At 50.3% G+C, this 21,649-nt stretch overlaps 1 protein-coding gene across 8 annotated transcripts in view, besides 3 other annotated features; it reads right to left on the bottom strand.

Moving 5' to 3' along the window:
• Window positions 5,719–6,220: an enhancer, noted in NCBI's record as "H3K27ac hESC enhancer chr22:17652055-17652556 (GRCh37/hg19 assembly coordinates)". NCBI's record gives its function as "activates a minimal SCP1, AML or CMV promoter by ChIP-STARR-seq in naive H9 embryonic stem cells {active_cell/tissue: H9 hESC(naive)}" and the evidence as "EXISTENCE:reporter gene assay evidence [ECO:0000049][PMID:30033119]".
• Window positions 5,719–6,500: a biological region, named in NCBI's record as "H3K27ac hESC enhancer GRCh37_chr22:17652055-17652556".
• Window positions 6,071–6,500: a silencer, noted in NCBI's record as "silent region_13435". NCBI's record gives its function as "represses an Ori minimal core promoter by ATAC-STARR-seq in GM12878 lymphoblastoid cells {active_cell/tissue: GM12878}" and the evidence as "EXISTENCE:reporter gene assay evidence [ECO:0000049][PMID:35858748]".
• Window positions 13,344–21,649, bottom strand: part of ADA2 (adenosine deaminase 2) — a 43,059-nt gene continuing 34,753 nt past the window's right edge. For all 8 annotated transcript variants that reach the window (NM_001282227.2, XM_011546133.3, NM_001282229.2 and 5 more), the window contains 3 exons: window positions 17,158–17,315; window positions 16,374–16,576; window positions 13,344–16,130 (listed from right to left, as the gene is read on the bottom strand). In NM_001282227.2, coding sequence (NP_001269156.1) covers window positions 16,037–16,130; window positions 16,374–16,576; window positions 17,158–17,315 — 455 coding nt within the window. In that variant the 3' untranslated portion in view covers window positions 13,344–16,036. The remainder of the gene's footprint in view (window positions 16,131–16,373; window positions 16,577–17,157; window positions 17,316–21,649) is intronic.

Consider the following 21,649-nt stretch of genomic DNA (forward strand, 5'->3'; position numbering starts at 1 on the left):
ATGTCCCTTGTCTCTTTTTCAATGATTTAGATTTAAGCAGGAAAGCCTGGGTTCCTTTTGTGTGTGTGTGACAGGGTCTCTGTCGCTCAGGATGGAGTGCAGTGGCGCGATCAAAGTTCACTGCAGCCTTGACCTCAAGCAATCCTCCCACCTCAGCCTCCAAGTAGCTGGGATCACAGGCTTGCATCACCATGCCCAGCGAATTTTTTTTTTCTAGACACGGTCTCACTATGTCACTCAGGCTGGTCTAGAACTCCTGGCCTCAAGTAATTCTTCTGCCTCCACCTCCCAAAGTGCTGGGATTACAGGTATGAGCCACCATACCTTGCCTTTTTTTTGACATGGAGTCTGACTCTGTCACCCAGGCTGGAGTGCAGTGGCACGATCTCAACTCACTGCAACCTCCACCTCCTGGGTTCAAGCGATTCTCCTGCCTCAGCCTCCAGAGTAGCTGGGATTACAGACGTGCGCCACCACACCTGGCTAATTTTTGCATTTTTAGTAGAGACAAGTTTTCACCATGGGCTCCAGTTTTACCATGTTGGCCAGGCTGGTCTTGAACACCTGACCTCAAGTGATCCGCCCACCTTGGCCTCCCAAAGTGCTGGGATTACAGGCACGAGCCACTGCACCTGGCCTCTTTTTTTTTTTTTTTTTAAGAGACAAGTTCTCACTGTCGCCCAGGCTGGAGTGCACTGGTGCAATCCTTCCACATTAGTTTCCTGAGTAGCTGGGACTACAGGCACACGCCACTGTGCCAGGCTAATATTTTTTGGAAATGGGGTCTCCTTATGTTGCCCAGGCTGGTCTCAACTCCTGGCCTTAAACAATCCTCCCGCCTTGGCCTCCGAAAGTGATTTATTCCTAAAACTCCAACAGCCTCTTTCCCCACCAGCCCCATACTAGAGACCCCTACTGCACCTTCCCATCCCCCGCAGATGAGCAGAATAACTGGCGCCTCTGTTGTAATGAGAGTTCAGGTGCCCATGCCATCTCGGGACCGTTCCTCCCTGACTCCCCAGGTCCCTTCTGAAGGCAAGAACCACAGGGAGAACAGAGAATGCTAAAAGGTGAGCTCATTCCCTCTGTGGCATCAATACCTGACACTTGGTCCTATCCTGAACATAAACTCTGCACGTGGCAAGGAAGGCAAAGGCAAGGGGCACTATGAGAATGACAAGGCGAAGCGACAGGCAGAGACAGGCCCGAGGGCTCCAGTGGCAAGCTTACACACTGCACGGATTTTGGGACAAGTTCTTTCATGTTATCAAGCCCACCTGTCTCTCCTGCTTAGAAAAAGTCAGGTGCAGGACATGGCCATGTTAATTCTGGGCTGAGGGTAACAAGATTTTGACTCCCAAACTCTCAGGCCCCTTTATGGCTGTGCCCAGGCATTGGGAAAAAGAGGTGATGAATGAGGTGCTTCCAAGGCTTGCCAGAGATATGTGTGCTAGGGCTGCAGTGGACTGGGGCTGGGGTCCTGGTCAGTAAGCTGGGATGGTGACCCAGTCTGAGATGGAATGTGTGGCCCTGATTCATAGGCAGGTGACATTTATAGAAAAGATTAGGCACCTCCCAGGCTGAACACTCTGTCACTGAGCCCATCCACCCTCACCCTCGGCCTCAACGCTCCTTGCCATAGCTGGGGGGCAGGGGTGGAAGGGTGACCTTCCAACATCCTGACCCATGTATAGAAGAAAGTAACTCAGGGAGGCCGGGCACGGTGGCTCACGCCTGTAATCCCAGCACTTTGGGAGGCCGAGGCGGGCAGATCACAAGGTCAGGAGATCGAGACCATCCTGGCTAACACGGTGAAACCCCGTCTCTACTAAAAATACAAAAAATTAGCCGGGCGTGGTGGCAGGCACCTGTAGTCCCAACTACTCGGGAGGCTGAGGCAGGAGAATGGTGTGAACCCGGGAGGTGGAGCTTGCAGTGAGCCGAGGTCGCGCCACTGCACTCCAGCCTGGGCAACAGAGTGAGACTCCGTCTCAACAGAAAAAAAAAAAGGAAAAAGTAACTCAGGGAGCTTCCTGGCCAAACAGACACCGCTCCTCAGCCCAGTGCTCCTGATGGGGTGCTCCCATCCCCAGTCCTGCCCAGCTTCTGCCTTTGCCATGTCCCCCTGTTCCCTTCCTGTGTCAGTACCATCCTCTCCCCGCCCATCGTCACTTGCTCCAGGGAACTCTGGCCCAAAAGAGGCCAGCTGGCCCAAAGCGCCTGAAATGCTGGCAAGGGACAGAGCCCTTGGCACGGTCCCTGTGGAGGGTCAGGCTGGGTCATGGCTCCAAGTGCAGGCAGAGGAGAGAGCACTAGAGATTCAGGCTCTGAGTTGCCCCCAGGGCCAGTTGCGCCAGGCTGGCTCCTTCTGCCCAGTCCACTGTATCCACGTTGAAGACAGGCTGGTTTCTTGTGGGAAAGGGGCAATAAAAAGGAGAGGAGAGGAGGGAATAGGAGAAAGGAGAAGCTAGAAAGAAAGAAAGAAAAGGAAAGGCAAGAGAAGCTTGATCAAGGAAATTTTAAAACCCAACAGAGATGAAGAGGAGGGAGGAAGGAAACATCAGAAACATCAGTAGACAGAGTTCTTTTTCTTTTCTTTTTCTTTCTTTCTTTTTTTTTTTTTTTAGAGACTGGGTCTCCTTCTGTTGCCCAGGCTGGAGTGCAGTCACTCAGTCTCGACTCACTGCAGCCCCGACCTCCTGGGCTCAAGCAATCCTCCTACCTCAGCCTCCCCACCACACCCAGCTAAATTTTGTATTTTTTGGCAGATATGGGGTTTCGACGTGTTGCCCAAGCTGGTCTCAAACTCCTGAGCACAAGCAATCCACCCGCCTTGGCTTCCCAAAGTGCTGGGATTACAAGAGTATGAACCACTGCACCCAGTCTGACAGAGTTCTTTTTTTGTTTGTTTTGTGTTTTGTTTTGTTCTGTTTTTTTTTTGAGACGGAGTCTCACTCTGTTGCCCAGGCTGGAGTGCAATGGCACAATCTCGCCTCAGAGCAACCTCCGCCTCCCGGGTTCAAGTGATTCTCCCCCTTCAGCCTCTGGAGTAGCTGGGATTACAGTCTCCCACCATCATGCCTGGCTAATTTTTGTAGAGATGGGGTTTCACCAAGTTGGCCAAGCTGGTCTTGAACTCCTAACCTCAGGTGATCCACCTGCTTTGGCCTCCCAAACTGCTGGGATTACAGGCTGGAGCCAGCGTGCCTGGCCCCTGACAGAGTTCTAAGCATGTGGGAAGCATGCGAAGTCCACGCAAGTCCCTGGGCTGGGCTGCTAGCCTCCCTGCTTGGTACCTGGTGGCTGTTCCCCAGGAGGGCAGATAGACTCCCTGCTCTCTGCCCTCTTGTCATTGTGAGCTCCCTGGCCCATCCCTAGGCTGCACTGCACTTCCCAGTCAGGGCAGTGCCTGGACCCTCCAAATACAGCTCCTGCCATGGCCTCTTCCGAATCCTAGGGGCAAACGGGGCATTGATGCACTTAGCTCAGCCCTCACACTCTCCTGCCACCGACCCTGAGAAGGGGCAGCTGGCACCAGAGAGTCTCTGAGCTGAACCTGGGCTCATTCTGCAAGATCCTTCCTAGGGAGACTGGCATGCAGGCAAGGGGATCAGCTCCTGAAGGCCCCCAGACTCCCATAGGAGGGGAGGGAACTCCAGGGATAGGCAGAGGGAAGGCTCCTGGGGGAGTCAGTTGCCCTCCAGAGCCCAGGCTTACGGGTGGGCTGAGCAGATGGAGCCACTGCCTGATGCTGTCTCCCCATGCCCTGACTCCAAGTGACCCCACTGGCTGCTGCCCCTGTGGCTCCAGCCATGGATGGGTCCCAGCCTTTGACTGGCTGCACTTCATTGTATTTGATGGTTACTTTTTGGAGTCAACTTGACTGGATTGAGGGACACCTAGATAGCTGGTAAAGCAGTGTCTTGTGAGGCTGCTTCCAGAGGAGACTGGCGTATGAGTTGGTAGGCTGAGTGGGGAAGACGCCCTGTCAATATGGGAGGGTACCATCCAATCAGCTGGGAGCCTCGGTAGGACAAAAAGGCAGAGGAAGGGCAAATTTGCTGTCTCTCTCCTGGAGCTGGGACAGCCTTCTTCTCCTGCCCTTGGACATCAGAAGTCTAAGGGTCTTGACCTTTAGATGCTGGGACTTGCACCAGCAGCCCCCCAGGTTCTCAGGCCTTCAGTCTCAGACTGAGTCACACCTTCAGCTCCCCTGGTTCAGAGGCTTTCAGATTTGAACTGAGCCATGCTCCCAGCAGCCCCAGGTCTCCAGGCGGCCTGTCGTAGGACTTCTCAGGCCTCCATAATCACGTGGAGCCAATTCACCTAATAAATCCCTTCTCATCTATCTGTCTGTCTCCTATCTCTATCTATCTATCTATCTATCTATCTATCTATCTATCTATCTATCTATCTATCTACCTACCTACCTACCTGCATGCTATAGGTTCTGTCTCTCTGGAGAACCCTAATACGGTTGGGATGCAAATTGGAAGGCACACCACCTGTTAAGTAGTCCTGCTGAAAGAATCAATCCTAAATCTTATCAAGACTTGAGATCCAGGCGGGGCGCAGTGGCTCAGGCCTGTAATCCCGGCACTTTGGGAGGCTGAGGCAGGCAGATCACTTGAGGTCAGGAGTTCAAGACCAGCCTGGACAACATGGTGAGACCCCGTCTCTACTAAAATACAAAAATTCGCTGGGCACGTTGGCTCATGCCTATAATCCCAGCACTTTGGGAGGTGGCTGGATCACCTGAGGTCAGGAGTTCGAGACCAGCCTGGCCTACTAAAAATACAAAAATTAGCCGGGCGTGGTGGTGTGCATTTGTAATCCCAGCTACTTGGGAGGCTGAGGCAGGAGAATTGCTTGAACCTGGAAGGCAGAGGTTGCAGTGAGCCAAGATGGTGCCATTGCACTCCAGCCTGGGTGACAAGAGCAAAGACTTCATCTCAAAAAAATAAAAAATAAAAATAAAAAAATTAGGGAGGGCGTGGTGGCTCACGCCTGTAATCCCAGCACTTTGGGAGGCCGAGGTGGGCAGATCATGAGGTCAGGAGTTCAAGACCAGCCTAGTCAACATGGTGAAACCCCGTCCCTACTAAAAATACAAAAATTAGCCAGGTGTGGTGGCGCACACCTGTAATCCCAGCTACTCGGGGGGCTGAGGCAGGATAATTGCTTGAACCCGGGAGGCAGGGGTTGCAGTGAGCCGAGATCGCACCATTGCACTCCATCTGTGGGCGACAGAGCAAGACTCCATCTCGAAAAAAATAATAATACAAAATTAGCCGGGCATGGTGGTGTGCGCCTGTGGTCCAGATGAGGCAGGAGAATAGCCTGAACCCAGGAGGTGGAGGCTGCAGTGAGTTGAGATTGTGCCACTGCACTCCAGTCTGGGGAACAGAGTGAGACCCTGTCTCAAAAAAAAAAAAAAAGAGTTCAGAACAGTGTGGATACTGTGCTGCCTTTTATATGAGAGCAGGAAAAAATATATATATTTGCTTTTGTTTATTTTGCATAAAGAAACACAAGAAACTAAGCCTGGTGGGAGAATGGGTGGGATGGGAAAGAGGACAGTGGAAAACAGAGGTGGATAGAAGCCTTTCGAATGTGTTCCTTTTCATACTTTTTGAATTTTTGAAATGTGATTGTATATAGATTCATTTTAATTTTAAATGTAATTAAAATTTAAAATTCATTACGGCACTACTCTCTCATCCTGTACTATGGGCTCTACCCTTTTTTGTTTGTTTGTTTTTGTTTTGTTTTGAAGAGACAGAGTCTCGCTGTTTTCCCCAGGCTGGTCTAGAACTCCTGGGCTCTAGCGCCCCGCCTGGGCCTCCCAGAATGCGGGACTACAGGCGCCGCCACCACCCGGCGTCTACTCTAAATGCATAGAGGCCAGGATGACCCAAGGTCACCAGCGGCCGATGCTGCCTGGCAGGGGCTTGAGGCCGGGAGGGGACCCTGCGGACAGGCGAGACCATGTGTGATCTGTGGGAAGCAACTAAACCGGCGTATTCGCGGCAGGGGAGCTCTGTGCCGTCCCGCGGCCCCACCCCGCTCTGCCATGGGAAGCCGTAGCTTGGCGCTGCCCACAGTGACGCGAGGGACTCCGAGGGCACCCGGGCCGGGGTGGACACGGGAGTGGGCCCGGGCGCGGCCGGCAGGGGGCAGCAGCGCCGCGCCGCCCGCGCAGTTCCACAGGTGCGCCGAGCCTGGGGCCATCGCCTCCCTCCGGCCGCCGTCCCCAGCGAATCGCCGCCTGCGTTCTGCCGTTTCCCCGCCACCGCAGCCACCCGGGGCCCGGGGGGCCGCAGCCATCCGCAAGCCGCGGGGCGGCGGGACCGGGCGGGCCGCTAGGGACGCCGGACGAAGGGAGCCCGCGGGCGGGGTCTGGGCGCCTACATCCTTGCTCCCAGGGAGGAAGGGACAGGAAACTGAAGCTGTTTCCGGGGCTGACCCCGGCCAGAGAGAGCAGGGCTCGGGAGAGTCGGCGCGTCCCGGAGGCGGCGCCCCCTGGAGGCCGGTGTGCTTTGGCTCTGCAGCGGGGGAGATTAGGGGTGGAGGCCGACCGATCCCACTCAGCCAGGACTGGCAGGCGCCGGGAGCTCACTGGGAGGCAAGTGCCGACCCCCGAAACCCACTCCAGACAAGCGAAGAAAACAGCTCTGTGTCCCAGGACGAGCACATACCTACTGTCACCCACTGTGCGACCTGGAAGAGTTACTGACCCTCTCTGGGCCTTAATCAGTCATCAGAAACACAAACGCGTAGATAAGATGGTCTTTAGGCCTCTCCCAGCTCTGCTATTCTGTGAATCTAAGAAACTCTAGTCCCTCCACCAGTCCCCACCCCGGGCTGGCTTCGCTTCAGGGAGGCCTGGCTGAGCTGGGGCCCTCATCCAAGGTCTTTGCACGGTTCCTCAGCAAAGGTGTTTTGGAAGGCTGGGTCCCACCCCTTCCCGGCGGAGGAAGAGGCTATTGGCTAAAAAGCCTGGACAAATTCAAAACCAGCAGCTCGGCCCCGGTTTTTTCGGAGCACAGCCAAACCCAAATCACACCTCTGCACCTACCTAGCTCCAGAGATCTAGACAGCATTTACAGCCCCCAAATGTTATTTTTACACCCTTTCCAGGCAGGGAAGGACAGAGGAGGGTAAGCTATTTTTAGGATGACTGCTATTTAAAGTAACATACTGGCCTGGCAAGGTGGCTCTGGCCTGTAATCCCAGTGCCTTGGGAGATACAGGCAGGAGAATCACGTGAGGCCATGAGTTCAATACTATCCTGGGCAACAAAAGGAGACCCCCATCTCTATTAAACAGCCGGGCGTGGTGGTGCGCGTCTGTCGTCCCAACTACTGGAGAGGCAGGCTGAGGCGGGAGGGTCCCTTGAGCCCAGGAGTTCAAGATTATAGTGAGCTATGATCACAGCACTGCCCTCCAGGCTGGGCAGTGAGACCCTGTCTCAAAACAATAAATTAAGTAACCTAGACTATGTATGTGAAAATAATATTTCCAACCCTAGCATGCTGACTTCATCTGAGCTTACAGATGCATTTTCATACAGTCCTCCCCAAGGGATCAGTTCCTGTGAGAGCCAAGGATGGCACCACTCATTGAAATCCTGACCATGGGAAGGCGTCATTTGGGATTCCGGAATGGGTGGCTGAAGCAGTTTACAGAATCGCGTTCTGGTGAGCTTTAAGAATGGAACAGGCGCCGGGTGCGGTGGCTCACGGCTGTAATCCCAGCACTTTGGGAGGCCGAGGCAGCCAGATCACTTGAGGTCAGGAGGTCGAGATCAGCCTGGCCAACATGGTGAAGCCCCGACTTTACTAAAAATACAAAAATTAGCCAGGTGTGATGGCGCGTGCCTGTAATCCCAGCTACTAGGGAGGCTGAGGCAGGAGAATCACTTGAACTGGGATGGTGGAGGTTGCAGTGAGCCGAGATCATGCTACTACACTCCAGCCTGGGCGACAGAGTGAGACTCAGTCTCAAAAAAAAAGAAAATAAAAAGAAACAGGGACATCTTCCTGAGGAAGTCTCGGGCTGCTCTTCCTGAAGGTGAGGCTGGTTGCATAGTCTTTCAAGGTCCCTCACAAGCTGAGGCTCCTGTAAGTTTTCTCTTTTCAGCTAGTCTTTTCAAACGAACACACCTCCACCTCGCTTTCCTCCTTCCAAATGAAGAGCTGATCTAGAGCAGGCGCAGATCCAGATTTTGGGGCAGTCCTGAGGTTTATACATATTTGAAGGGTCTTCTTAAGGAAAAAAGAATAAAATCTGACTAACACACATTTCCTCTGAAATGGCAGCTTCGGGAGCACTGCTAAGGTAGCCGAGCCCTCCATTCCAGTGGCCACTTCCAGTCTAACAATTCCACCGTTTTCTCTTCTTTTTTCAACTCTTTCCATTCCAGTGGCCACTTCCAGTCTAACAATTCCATCGTTTTCTCTTCTTTTTTCAACTCTTTCCATTCCAGTGGCCACTTCCAGTCTAACAATTCCATCGTTTTCTCTTCTTTTTTCAACTCTTTCCCTCTTCCTGCCCATTTTTTTTATTTGTTTTGTTTTGGATGCTTGTTTGTTTGTTTTTGAGACAGAGTCTCGCCCAGGCTGGAGTGCAGTGGCATGATCTTGGCTCACTGCAACCTCCGCCTCCTGTGTTTAAGCGATTCTCCTGCCTCAGCCTCTTGAGTAGCTGGGATTACAGGTGCCCACCACCATGTCTGGCTAATTTTTTTTATTTTTAGTAGGGACGGGGTTTCACCATGTTGGCCAGGCTGGTTTCGAACTCTTGACCTCAAGTGATCCACCCGCCTCAGCCTCTCAAAGTGCTAGGATTGCAGGGATGAGCTACCATGCCTGGCCATAATATTCCCATTTTAATATGCATAAATTGTATTTCTGTGTCTACACACACACACACACACACACACACACACTCCAGTAACAATGAGCACATCTAGTGCCTAGATCAGGGCTACTAAATATTATTCTCTACTGAAAGGAACAGAGCTCCCTGGAGAAATGGCTGAGCTCAGGCATGACACAGGGAAAGTACAAAATGAAGGTAGAACATTTTATTGCGTAAGGAAGAATGGCCAGATGCAGTGGTTCACACCTATAATCCCAGCACTTTGGGAGGCTGAGGTGGGCAGATTGCTTGAGCTCAGGAGTTTGAGACCAGCCTGGGCAACATGGCAAAACCCCATCTCTACAAAAAATACAAAAATTAGCCAGACGTGGTGGTACGTGCTTGTAGTCCCAACTACTAGGGAGGGTGAGGTAGGAGGATCTCTTGAGCCTGTGGGGTCAAGGCTGCAATAAGCTGTGATGGTGCCACTGTACTCCAGCCTGGGGGATGGAGCAAGACCCTGTCACAAAAAAAAAAAAAAAAAGGAAAAAGTAAGAAAGTTCTCAATTATAGAACTTTATCAGCAGCCAACTTAACAGGGCTCCCATGGCCAGATCTGGAATAGTGTAAGCATCACAATAAATAGTGCTAGTAATGGATTATAGCTCATTGAATACAACCTGAATCCCTGAGTCGTACAGCTAGAAGGAAAAAAGGGGCCGGGCACAGTGGCTCACGCCTATAATCCCAGCACTTTGGGAGGCCGAGGCGTGCGGATCGCCTGAGGTCAGGAGTTCGAGACCAGCCTGGCCAACATGGTGAAACCCTATCTCTACCAAAAATACAAAAATTAGCTAGGCGTGGTGGTAGGCGCCTGAAGTCTCAGCTACTTGGGAGGCTGACGCAGGAGAATCACTTGAACCTGGGAGGTGGAGGTTGCAGTGAGCCGAGACTGCACCATTGCACTCTAGCTTGGGCAACAAGAGCAAAACTCTGTCTCAAAAAAAAAAAAAAGGAAAAAAGGAAGCTGGGAGGGAAGGAATTGTTCTTCCTTGCAGCAAAATGGCAACTAATATGGAAGAAATGGTAGAATTAGAAAATCACCATTTTGGCCAGGCACAGTGGATCACGCCTATAATCCCAATGCTTTGGGAGGCTGAGGTGAGAGGATTGCTTGAGCCCAGGTGTTTGAGCCATATTGGGCAACATAGTGAGACTTTGTTTGTATCAAAAAAAAAGTTTTAATTAGCTGGTTGCGGTGATGCATACCTGTAGTCCCAGCTACTTGAGACGCTGAGGCTGGAGGATTTCTTGAGCCCAACAGGTCAAAGCTGCAGTGAGTCGTGATCATACCACTGCACTCTAGCCTGGGTGACAGAGCGAGACCCAGAAAAAGAAAAAAAAAAAAAAAAAAAGAAGGAAGGAAGGAAAAAAAAATCACCATTTGATGGTTGTATTTTCCAAAATATTTTCCAACGACTTCTCTTATCCTATATATTCTTTTTTATAATGTGACTTTGACAATCTTCTATCAAAAGTTGGGATCTCTGTCTCCTCCGCTTAAAACCAGGAGGTGTTTTTTGTTACTGTTGGGACCAACGAAGTATGGCAGAAATAATGCCATGTGACTTCCAGAATCTTCCATTTATTCCGTGGAATACTTACCCCAGAAGTTGAGGCCAATGGGAAGAAGCCCAAACTAGCCATAGGAGAGCACCAGCTGAGCCCTGGGGCTGTGCAGAGAGGTGACCCCTGGCGGCCCGTCAGCTCCAGCTCTGCCTCCACTGTGACAAGGACCTCATGAGAGACCCAGAGCAGAACTGTCCAGCTGGGCTCTGCCCAAACCCCTGACCCACAGACACTGGGAGAGATCATAAATTTGTTTGTTTGTTTTGGGTTTGGTTTTGAAATGGAGTTTCACTCTTGTTGTCCAGGCTGGAGTGCAATGGCACCATCTCGGCTCACTGCAACCTCCGCCTCCCGGGTTCAAGCTATTCTCCTGCCTCAGCCTCCCAAGTAGCTAGGATTACAGGCGTGCGCCACCATGCCTGGCTAATCTTGTATTTTTAGTAGAGACGGGGTTTCCCCATGTTGGTCAGGCTGGTCTCAAACTTCTGACCTCAGGTGATCCGCCCGCCTCGGCCTCCCAAAGTGCTGGGATTAAAGATGTGAGCCACCACGCCTGGCCCCATAAATTTTTATTTTTGTTTCAAACCACTACGTTTTGGGATAATTTGCTACACAGCAATAAACGGAACAGCAACCATGATAGTAATAGCAGATTTAGACAAAAGTCCTCAGTGGATGCAAGCACTAATGGGTAAAGTTTTAAGGAGGAGTGAAGACTTTTACATAAAGTGTCTCCTCTCCAAATATGTGTTAATTACTAAGGGAAAAATGGTAACTTCGCAATGGCAAATTCTGGCAGAAATCAACTTAAGCGATCAAAGTCAGTATCATATTGAGACAAATTAACATTGTATGCATCAGTATGCTGGCAAATGTGTAACAGCTGGCTGGTGGGGACATGGATTTGTAACATTTGCTGATTTTTGTGGCACAAAAACTCCCACAAGCCTGGTGTCGTGGCTCATGCCTGTAATCCCAGCACTTTGGGAAGCCGAGGCGGGAGGATGGATTGAGGCCAGGAGTTTGAGACAGGCTAGACAGTATAGCATGATCCCATCTCTACAAAAAGTAAAAAGAAAGAAAACTTAGCCGAGGTGGCGGTGCACGCCTGTAGTCCCAACTACTTTGGATGCTGGGCAGGAGGATTGCTTGAGCCCAGGAGGTAGTGGCTACAATGAACAGCGATCCTGCCACTGCACTCTAGCCTAGGCAATGGAGTGAGACCCCTGTCTCAAAAAAAAAAAAAAAAAAATTCCCATCAAGACCAATTCCAGACTCCTAAAGGTTTAACAACAAGCTGGAAGTATAACACTTGGCCCCATTCATGTGCCCCTGGTGTGTACACTGAGAAGGACAAAGCCTCGCTGCCAAGGTGCTCCTCTCAAAAAGGTATCCCCTGAGCCTCTTCCTAGGGAAACATTAGATGAACCTGAAATGAGGGATAGTCTATGAAGTAACTGGCCTGTACTCTTCAAAAATGAGGTTCCAAAACACAAAGGAAGACTAAGAAGCTATTTCAGACTGAAAGAGACTAGAGAGTTGACAGCTAAATGTAACTTGTGATCCTGGATTGGGTTCTGGACCAAGAACAAAACAAAACAAAGCTCAGCAGGGCCAGAGCCAGATACTAGCGTCTTTTCAATGTTAATACTTTTCTGATTTGATTGGATGTACTGTGGCTCCATAGGAGAATGTCACTGTCTTTAGGAAATGTGCACTGGAGAATCTAGGAATAAAAGGCATAATATCTGCAACTTAGTCTCGAGTGGTTAAAAAAAATAGGATATATAGAGAGAGCAATTAGAAACAGAGAAAGAATGATATATGGAATCAAATGTTGTAAAATGTTAATAACTGGGGGAACCTGGGCAAAGAGAATGTTAGAGGTTTGTGTTGTTGTTGTTGTTATTTTTGTTTGTTTTTTTGAGACAGGGTCTCGCTTTATTGGCCAGGCTGGAGTGGAGTGGTGTGATCTCAGTTCACTACAACCTCCTCTTCCTGGGCTCAAGCAATCCTCCCACCTCAGCCTTCTGAATAGCTAGGACCACAGGCACACCCCACCATGCCCAGCTAATTTTTGTATTTTTAGTAGAGATGAGGTCTGGCCATGTTGCCCAAGCTGGTCTCAAACTCCTGGGCTCAAGCAATCCACTCGCCTCGGCCTCTCAAAGTGCTGGGATGACAGGCGTGACCCCCTGTGCCTGGCCTGGTAAGAGTTTTTTGTACTATTCTTGCAACTTTTTGAAATTATTTCAAAATGATCAGATAAATGCTCCATGGACATTTAGTTCAATAGGACTAGGCCTATGCAATGAGGAATAAAGTCAAGAAGGAAGAACTAACAAGCTTTGTAAGTTGAATTTAAAAGCTTAAAGACTGGATGTGGTGGCTAGTGCCTGTAATCCCAGGTATCCAGGAGGCTGAGGCAGGAGGATAACTTGAGGCCATAGTTTGAGATCAGTTGATCAGCCTGAGCAACATAGTGAGACACTGTCTCCAAAAAAAAAAAAAAAAAAAAAAAAGGCCGGGTGTGGCAGCTCACACCTGTAATCCCAGCACTTTGGGAGGCCGAGGCGGGCAGATCATGAGGTCAGGAGTTCAAGACCAGCCTAGCCAACACAGTGAAACCCCGTCTCTACTAAAAATACAAAAATTAGCCAGGCGTGATGGCAGGTGCCTGTAAACCCAGCTACTCGAGAGGCTGAGGCAGAAGAATTGCTTGAACCCGGGAGGCAGAGGTTGCAGTTAGCCAAGGTCGCGCCACTGCCCTCCAGCCTGGGCAACAGACACTCTGTCTCAAAAAAAAAAAAAAAAAAAAAAAAAGAAGGAAGAACTGGACACAAAGCACAAAGGCAAGACTATTGCTGGTTCATTTTGCCAAATCAGAGATCACAGCAAGTCCAGGCCAGAGGCTGTTTGCGTCTGCCTGTGTTGGAGGTCCCCTGCGCAGTTGGGACCTAAAAGATCTTCAGGGATTGGGTAAGGCACTGAATCACCTGCAGAGTTAGACAGGACCCTAGAGGTTGTCTTCTTCCATCCAGGCACAGCTTATGGTTGCTGTTTTTTCCCAGTTCCAGGAACCAAATGGTGATAAACTAGGAATGGAGAGAGGGCTTGCTGCTGTCTGAGAGCTCAGGTACAGGTCATGGAAGATGGATGAGAGGACATTCGCCTGGGGCTTTTGAGGAATTCTTTGATTCCCTGCCATCCTTGAGTTGGGTGAGGACAGAGGTGGCTTCTTGCATCCTTCTTCCAAGGCCAGGTGAGGAGCTGGACTCTGATCACATGAGGTCTTTTATTTGGGGCGGCTCTGCTCTACTCCCCTCTGCCTTGGCAGCTGGCTGAACAGACACAGTGACAGCCACTCATTCAATGCATTGTTTATTGAGTACTAACTAGCTTTGGGCCCAGGCTCTGGGTTAGCAGCATGCGTGAAACAATCAGAAACAATCATGAGCGCCTGCCCACATGGGGCATACAGTCTGGCAGGGCAAGACTGTAGACACAGAAATAAATATCCGATTATAAGCTGTGATTAGAGGCATGATGGAAAAGAGCAAGGCTTCCTGAGAGAAACAGGGCGAGCACAGGAAAACCTCTCTGAGACAGTGACATGAACTTGAAACTTGAAGGGTAAACAGGAGTGGGCAAGACAAAAGGGGAAAGAAGGAATCTTCCAGGCAGAGAGAAAGAGAAAAGACCCAGGCACGGTATAGAGCCGAGGACATTTGAGGAAGAAAGGGCCGCCGGGGTTGGGGCCCTCTGGGTGACTGGGAGAGGAAGGCGCCGGAATGGATCCAGATTAAATCGGATGCTGTATGCCCTGTGGAGACATGGGGTGTACCTCTAAACGCACTGCGTTGTAAGCAAAGGAGTGACCTGATTTAATTTGATCTTTTAAAAGTCATTCTAGGCCAGGCCGGGTGGCTCACGCCTGTAATCCCAGTGCTTTGGGAGGCCGAGGCGGGTGGACCACGAGGTCAGGTGTTCGAGACCAGCCTGGCCAACATAGTGAAACCCCATCTCTACTAAAAATACAAAAATTATCCGGGCATGGTGGTGCATGCCTGTAATCCCAGCTACTCAGGAGGCTGAGGCACGAGAATCCGCTTGAACCCGGGAGGTGGAGGTTGCAGTGAGCCGAGATCGCACCGCTGCACTCCACCCTGGGCAACAGAGCGAGACTCCATCTCAAACAAAACAAAACAAACAAACAAAATGTCATTCTACACTGTGAAAAATGAGCTGGAGGAGGCAAAGGGAAGAAAGGGGAGATCAGTGAGGAGGCTGTTGTCATAGCTCAGGCAGGAGTATGGTAGCTTGGACTTGGCAACAGCGTGCAGGTAGAGCACCACCGCTGGAGTCTGGATGCGGGATGCATTCTGATGTAGGGAGTGGGGGACCGCGCAGCATCAAGAAGCCACCGCTGGAGTCCAGATGAGGGATGCGTTCTGATGTAGGGAGTGGGGGACGGCGCAGCATCAAGACTTGCACTGAAAATTTCTGCTTTGAGCAACTGCGTGGAATGGATGGAGGTGTCCTTCACCAGCTATGGGAAAGGCCAGGGAAAGGTTTAAAGGGCTGAGTGTGGTGGCTCATGTCAGTAATCCCAGCACTTCGGGAGACTGCGGCAGGAGGATCACTTGAGTTGGAGACCAGCCTGGGCAACATAGCAAGACACTCTTTAGAAAAATTAAAGTAGAGAAAAAGAAAGGTTTAAAGGGAAGAGACTGAGGGTTCAGAATTGTACCTCATCAGTTTCTGAGATTCCTGTGAGCTCTCCAAGTGCATAAATAAATGTGGGAATCATTAACAAATAAATGGTATGAAAAAGCAAAGGAATGGATGAGACCACCCAGGAAAAGTGTACAGAGAGAGAAGAGAAATAAAGAGGAGAGAGTTAAAGAGACCAGAATAGGCCAGGCATGGTGGCTAATGCCTGTAATTCCAGCACTTTGGGAGCCAAGGGGCGAGTGGATCACCTGAGGTCAAGAGTTGGATACCAGCCTCGCCAACATGGTGAAAACCTGTCTCTACTAAAAATGCAAAAATCAGCTGGGTGTGGTGGCACATGCCTATAATTCCAACTACTCGCGAGGCTGATGCAAGAGAATTGCCTGAACCCGGGTGGCGGAGGTTGCACTGAGCTGAGATCGCACCATTGTACTCCAGCCTGGGCAACAAGAGCAAAACTCCATCTCGAAAAAATACAAAAATAAAAAAATAAAGAGACCAGAATAGAAGAGAGCCCAGGACTGAGTCCTGAGGAAACAGCACAGAGATCAGAGAGAGGAGAAGACTCTGAAATAGGGAAACTGGAAGAAATGGCCAGAGACAGGAGAAAACCAAGAGGGTCAATGTCACTGTGGCTGAGAGAGAATATTTCCAGAGGATGAATTTGCTCAGCCAGCCAAGTGCTTCTCACAGGGTCGCTCCATACAGAGGCCATTGATTTCATGGGCACATGGAGCTGATTCAAGAACGAGTGAGAGGAAGTGACAGCGTGTGCAAGAAGACAGCTTGTAGAGGGCTGGCTAGCTTCTCCTCACTTTGTAGCCACATCTGCTATGAACTTATCCCATCTCTTCTTCCAGATTTCCATGAAAGTATTTTTCTCACTCTCCAACAGGGTACTGTACCTGCAGGAAGAGGAGGAGCCCAGGTCAGCCTCAGGGCAGGGGTTGGGGAACGGGGCAGGGAGCCTGAGAGGACATTAGAGCCTTGCAGAGCACTCTCCCCAGGCCAGCAGCAAGGACTAAACAGCCATGATGAGAAGGAACCCACAGGAACCATCGAGGCATCTGCCTCAAGCCTCCAGAGAGGCAAACACAAGCTGCGGGCTGGAAGGAGGCGGGGGACCTGGGAGGACACAGGACACTCACTTGATAGAGTTCATGGCCAGCTGTTTGAGGGTCCTCAGGTCAGCCTTCATCCCCCCAATGCCCATGAAGACCTCATAGAAATCATAGGACAAGCCTTTGGCACCAAACATAGCTGGGTCATCAGAGCTGATCACCATGGGGTGCCCAGTGGCCATCAGAGTGGCTACAGGGTGGTTCCTCAAGTCAGACACCAGTTTCAGCACCTGCGCAATAGGAGGGAAGGGAGAAAGATGAACTCTGATCCCTAAAAAGAGTAGTCACAAGTGAGGTGAGACCTTGAGCCCCATCAGCTCCCTTCATCTTCCCATCACTATCTCCCCAGTATGGGGATGACTTCTGGGCAGAGTCACAAGGAGACATAAGGAACAGAGCCAGTCCTTATGCTCCTCCTCATGTTTCATCAGCACTGCAAACATCGGGTCACTTCTGTTCCTGCTCAGAGAAGCGCTAACTGAACACAGACACAAAGGACCCCAAGAAACCATGGGGAGCAGCATCCCATGGTCCGTCCCACTTCACTGGCCTCCCCCCATGTCCTTTTTGCTTTGTCTACAGTCTTGCCCAAAATTCCACCCCACTGGGGACCCTCACTGCTGCCTCATTCTTATTGGTGGCTTAGGCAAAAGGCCCCTCCTGAATAACTTTACTAACAGGGGTAGGAGAGTGGAGGGATGTAGGTAACAAGAGAGTTAAGGAGAGATAAGTTATACAGCAAAAAGTTTAAGAGAGCAGAGGTTGTGGTTAGGGGAGATCATATGGGATTAGCCACATGGGTCACACATACCTGGTTAGAGATGGGACAGACTTCTATGGGGATGTCCTTTTTCCAGGAGTAAGTCCTGACTGCGGGGTGTTTGCTCAAAGCAAATCCATGGCCGATTCTGGTAGTGTTCAGCATCAGAGCATCCAGAATGTTCCTGTCTATGGAAGTACCCTGCCAGTCTGAACACACGGGAATGGTCTTCCATGGGGGATGGATGGGTCTGGTCTTCCATGGGGGATGGATGGGTCTGACCCACCCGCCCCCCGACCATCCTCAAATAAACAGCCCCCCAAGCACAAAAATGAAGAGAAATTAACATTAACACAAATACACACACACAGTTTCCTTTTAACAATGCTAAAGAGAGGTATGATATGGCTTTATTAAATTAATCATCTAATTTATTAATTTATCATTCTAATGAGAAAGTTGAAACTTAATAGCTTCTATAAATTGACCAAGGATGTTCACACAGTAAGTAGCAAAACCGAGTTTTTTGTTGTTGTTGTTGTTGTTTTTTGAGACACAGTCTTGCTCTGTCGCCAGGCTGGAGTACAGTGGCACGATCTCAGCTCACTGCAACCTCCACCTCCCAGGTTCAAACAATTTTCCTGCCTCAGCCTCCTGAGTAGCTGGGACTACGGGCACACGCCACCACGCCCAGATAATTTTTTGTATTTTTAGTAGAGACAGGGTTTCACCATGTTGGCCAGGATGGTCTTGATTTCTTGACCTCGTGATCCACCTGCCTCAGCCTCCCAAAGTGCTGGGATTACAGGCGTGAGCCGCCGCACCTGGCCTGCAAAACTGAGTTTTAAACCTTCGTCTCTCTGACCCCACAGTCCGCTTTCCTTCTTCCTCTTTTGTGGCACTCTTTTTTTTTTTTTTTTTTTTTTGAGACGGAGTCTTGCTCTGTCGCCCAGGCTGGAATGCAGTGGCGTAATCTTGGCTCACTGCAACCTCCGCCTCCCGGGTTCAAGCGGATTCTCCTGCCTCAGCCTCCTGAGTAGCTGGGATTACAGGTGCCCACCACCATGCCCGGCTATTTTTTGTATTTTTAGTAGAGACGGGGTTTCACCATGTCGGCCAGGCCGGTCTCAAACTCCTGACCTCAGGGGATCCACCCGCCTAGGCCTCCCAAAGTGCTGTGATTATAGGCATGAGCCACCGCACCGGGCTCTGGGACTCTTATGCTTATGATCTTTACAACAATATGTTACAGGTTCTCTTATTGACAACATCAGTATAACTACCTGTATGTGCTCACTTTAATTTATATATTTAATAGTACTGTCAAGATGTTATCACTCGCTAGATGACCGCAGACAGTCTTGTGGCCTCCCTTCTCCCCTGCCATCCCCATCACACCTTTCTTTTTTTTTTTTTTTTTTTTTGAGATGGAGTCTCGCTCTGTCACCCAGGCTGGAGTGCAGTGGTGCAGTCTCGGCTCACTGCAAGCTCCACTTCCCGGGGTTCATGCCATTCTCCTGCCTCAGCCTCCCAAGTAGCTGGGACTACAGGCGCCCGCCACCACACCCAGCTGATTTTTTTTTTTGTATTTTTAGTAGAGACAGGGTTTCACTGTGTTAGCCAGGATGGTCTCGATCACCTGACCTTGTGATCCACCTGCCTCAGCCTCCCAAAGTGCTGGGATTACAGGCGTGAGCCACCACGCCCGGCCCCATCACACCTTTCTTGCAGCTAGGGCCCTCGGTAGAGGATGAAAGGTCAGATGTGCCTTTCTCAGTCTCCCTTACAGCTAAAATAGCCTTAACGCTGGACTGGGAGGTTATTTGTTGGGGAGCTTTGGGGGATTCCTCCCTGATAAAAGGGGATCCACTGGGAGGCTGTCTCCTATTTTGCTTCACTGGATGTGGTCACCCCAAATGTGATTCACCATCCGACAACCAAGTGGGGCAGAATCACCCACACAATGGGCATAGCACAGATTGCTTCTTACGTGAGATAACAAATGTCCTTATTGTAAAATCGGTGGGATGCATGTACTCTATTCTTGCAGCCATAAGCATTCTAATGGATTCACATATAAAATATGAACATCTGGCTGGGTGCGGTGGCTCACACCTGTAATCGCAGCACTTTGGGAGGCTGAGGCAGGAGGATTGCTTGAGCCCAGGAGTTCAAGGCCAGCCATGGGCAACATAGAGACACCCTGTCTCTACAAAAAATACAAAAATTAGCCAGGCATGGTGGCATGTGGCTGCAGTCCCAGCTACTTAGGAGGCTGAGGTGGAAGGATAACCTGAACCCAGGAGGTGGAGGCTGTAGTGAGCTGTGATCACGCCACCACACTCTAGCCTGGGTGACAGAGGTGGAGGCTGTAGTGAGCTGTCATCACACCACCGCACTCTAGCCTGGGTGACAGAGTGCCCATGTCAAAATATATATATATATATATATATATGAAAACTCCACTTTCCTGATAGAAATAAAACTCAAGAATTTCCATTGCTATGTAGCACATGTGTTTTGGTGGATTTTCACTGGTTTTTAAAGATTTCTTTTTCTTTTTAAAAATAAGGATATTGGCCGGGTGTGGTGGCTCACACCTGTAATCCCACCACTTTGGGAGGCCGAGGTGGGCGGATCACGAGGTTAGGAGTTCCGGACCAGCATGACCAACATGGTGAAACCCCGTCTCTACTAAAAATACAAAAAATATTAGCCGGGCGTGGTGGCAGGCGCCCGAGTAGTCCCAGCTACTCGGGAGGCTGAGGCAGGAGAATGGCGTGAACCTGGGAGGCGGAGCTTGCAGTGAGTTGAGATCGTGCCACTGCACTCCAGCCTGGGGACAGAGCGAGACTCCGTCTCAAAAAATAAAATAAAATAAAATAAAATAAAATAAAAAAATAAAAATAAGGACATTACTTTTAGGTATTAGATACCCAAGTCCTGGCAAAATCATCTCCAAGGACCATACATCTTGGAACCTGTTAGGTCCTGAGCTGCAATGTTTTGTAGGGCCAGAATTATTTCACACACATAAGTATGATTTTCCCCAACCAGACCACAAGCTCTTCAAGGTTAACAACACCCTCGCCCAACCCCCTCCCCCTCAAACAATTCTTCTGCTCTCCTAGAGCAGACTTTGATCTAAATTGGATCTAAATTGACTCGAAATGTCAGGAAAAAGAGATTAATGCACAAGGTCCCTTTCTCTGAGAGAAGGTGTGATAGAGCAGAGCTTAAGCCTGGGTGGGAAATGAAATTGCCCACCACTCTCTCCACCCCTCTTTGGTCTTCCGAGGGTGACAGGTGGGATGCTGAAGAGAGCTGCCCTCCTGGTCCCGGCCTCCATGTGAACAGCCTCCTCCCAAATCTTCCTTTGGATCTGAAATTGCAGCCGTGATCTTTCTTAGTTAGGGTTTACACATTTTAAGGACTGGAATACGGGAGGGGCTGAGATGACTGAGCGAGCCCAAGGATGGAGTTCTGGGAAAGAAAGATGTGGCTGGGCTGATGGCGTTTCAGGAGGAACAGCAGCCAGGGCCTGCATGGGGCAGGGCAGGGTTTCCTCTCCTACGATAATGCGGGACAGAACATCCTAAAGACAAGGAGCAGACCTGGTTCTCCTCCCTCTTCTGCCAATTTCCAGCTGTGTGGCTTTAGGCAGATCAGTTAACCTCTCAAGCACAATTCACTCGGAGGATGGAGAGCGTCAGAAAGTGTTCCAATTCATACACATTATATACAGGCATCAAAATATCACATGAGGCCGGGTAATCCCAGCACTTTGGGAGGCCAAGGCGGGTGGATTGTTTGAGGTTGGGAGTTCAAGACCAGCCTGGGCCAACATGGTGAAACCCTATCCCTATTAAAAATACAAAAATTAGCCGGGTGTGTTGGTGGGCGCCTGTAATCCCAGCTACTCGGGAGGCTGAGGCACGAGAATCACTTGAACCTGGCAGCCAGAGGTTGCAGTGAGCCGAGATCGCACCACTGCACTCCAGCCTGGGCGATACAGTAAGACTCTGTCTCAAAAGAATTTTTTTCCGTGGCTCAAGCCTGTAATCCCAGCATTTTGGGAGGCTGAGGTGGGTGGATCACTTGAGGTCAGGAGTTCAAGACCAGCCTAACCAACATGGTGAAACCCCATCTCTACTAAAAATACAAAAATTAGCTAGGCATGGTGGTGCATGCCCGTAATCCCAGCTTCTCCAGAGGCTGAGGCAGAAGAATCACTTGAACCCGGGAGGCAGAGGTTGCAGTGAGCCAAGATCGCACCACTGCACTCCAGCCTGGGTGACAGAGTGAGACTCCATCTCAAAAAACAAAAAAATTGACCAGGTGCAGTGGCTCACACCTGTAATCCCAGCACTTTGGGAGGCCTAGACGGGTGGATCACAAGGTCAGGCGATCGAGACCATCCTGGCTAACACAGTGAAACCTCGTCTCTACTAAAAATACAAAAAATTAGCCGGGCGTGGTGGCGGGCACCTGTAGTCCCAGCTACTTGGGAGGCTGAGGCAGGAGAATGGCATGAACCCAGGAA

Source organism: Homo sapiens, chromosome 22 (assembly GCF_000001405.40).
Source record: "Homo sapiens chromosome 22, GRCh38.p14 Primary Assembly".
NCBI classification, from domain to species: Eukaryota; Metazoa; Chordata; class Mammalia; order Primates; family Hominidae; genus Homo; species Homo sapiens.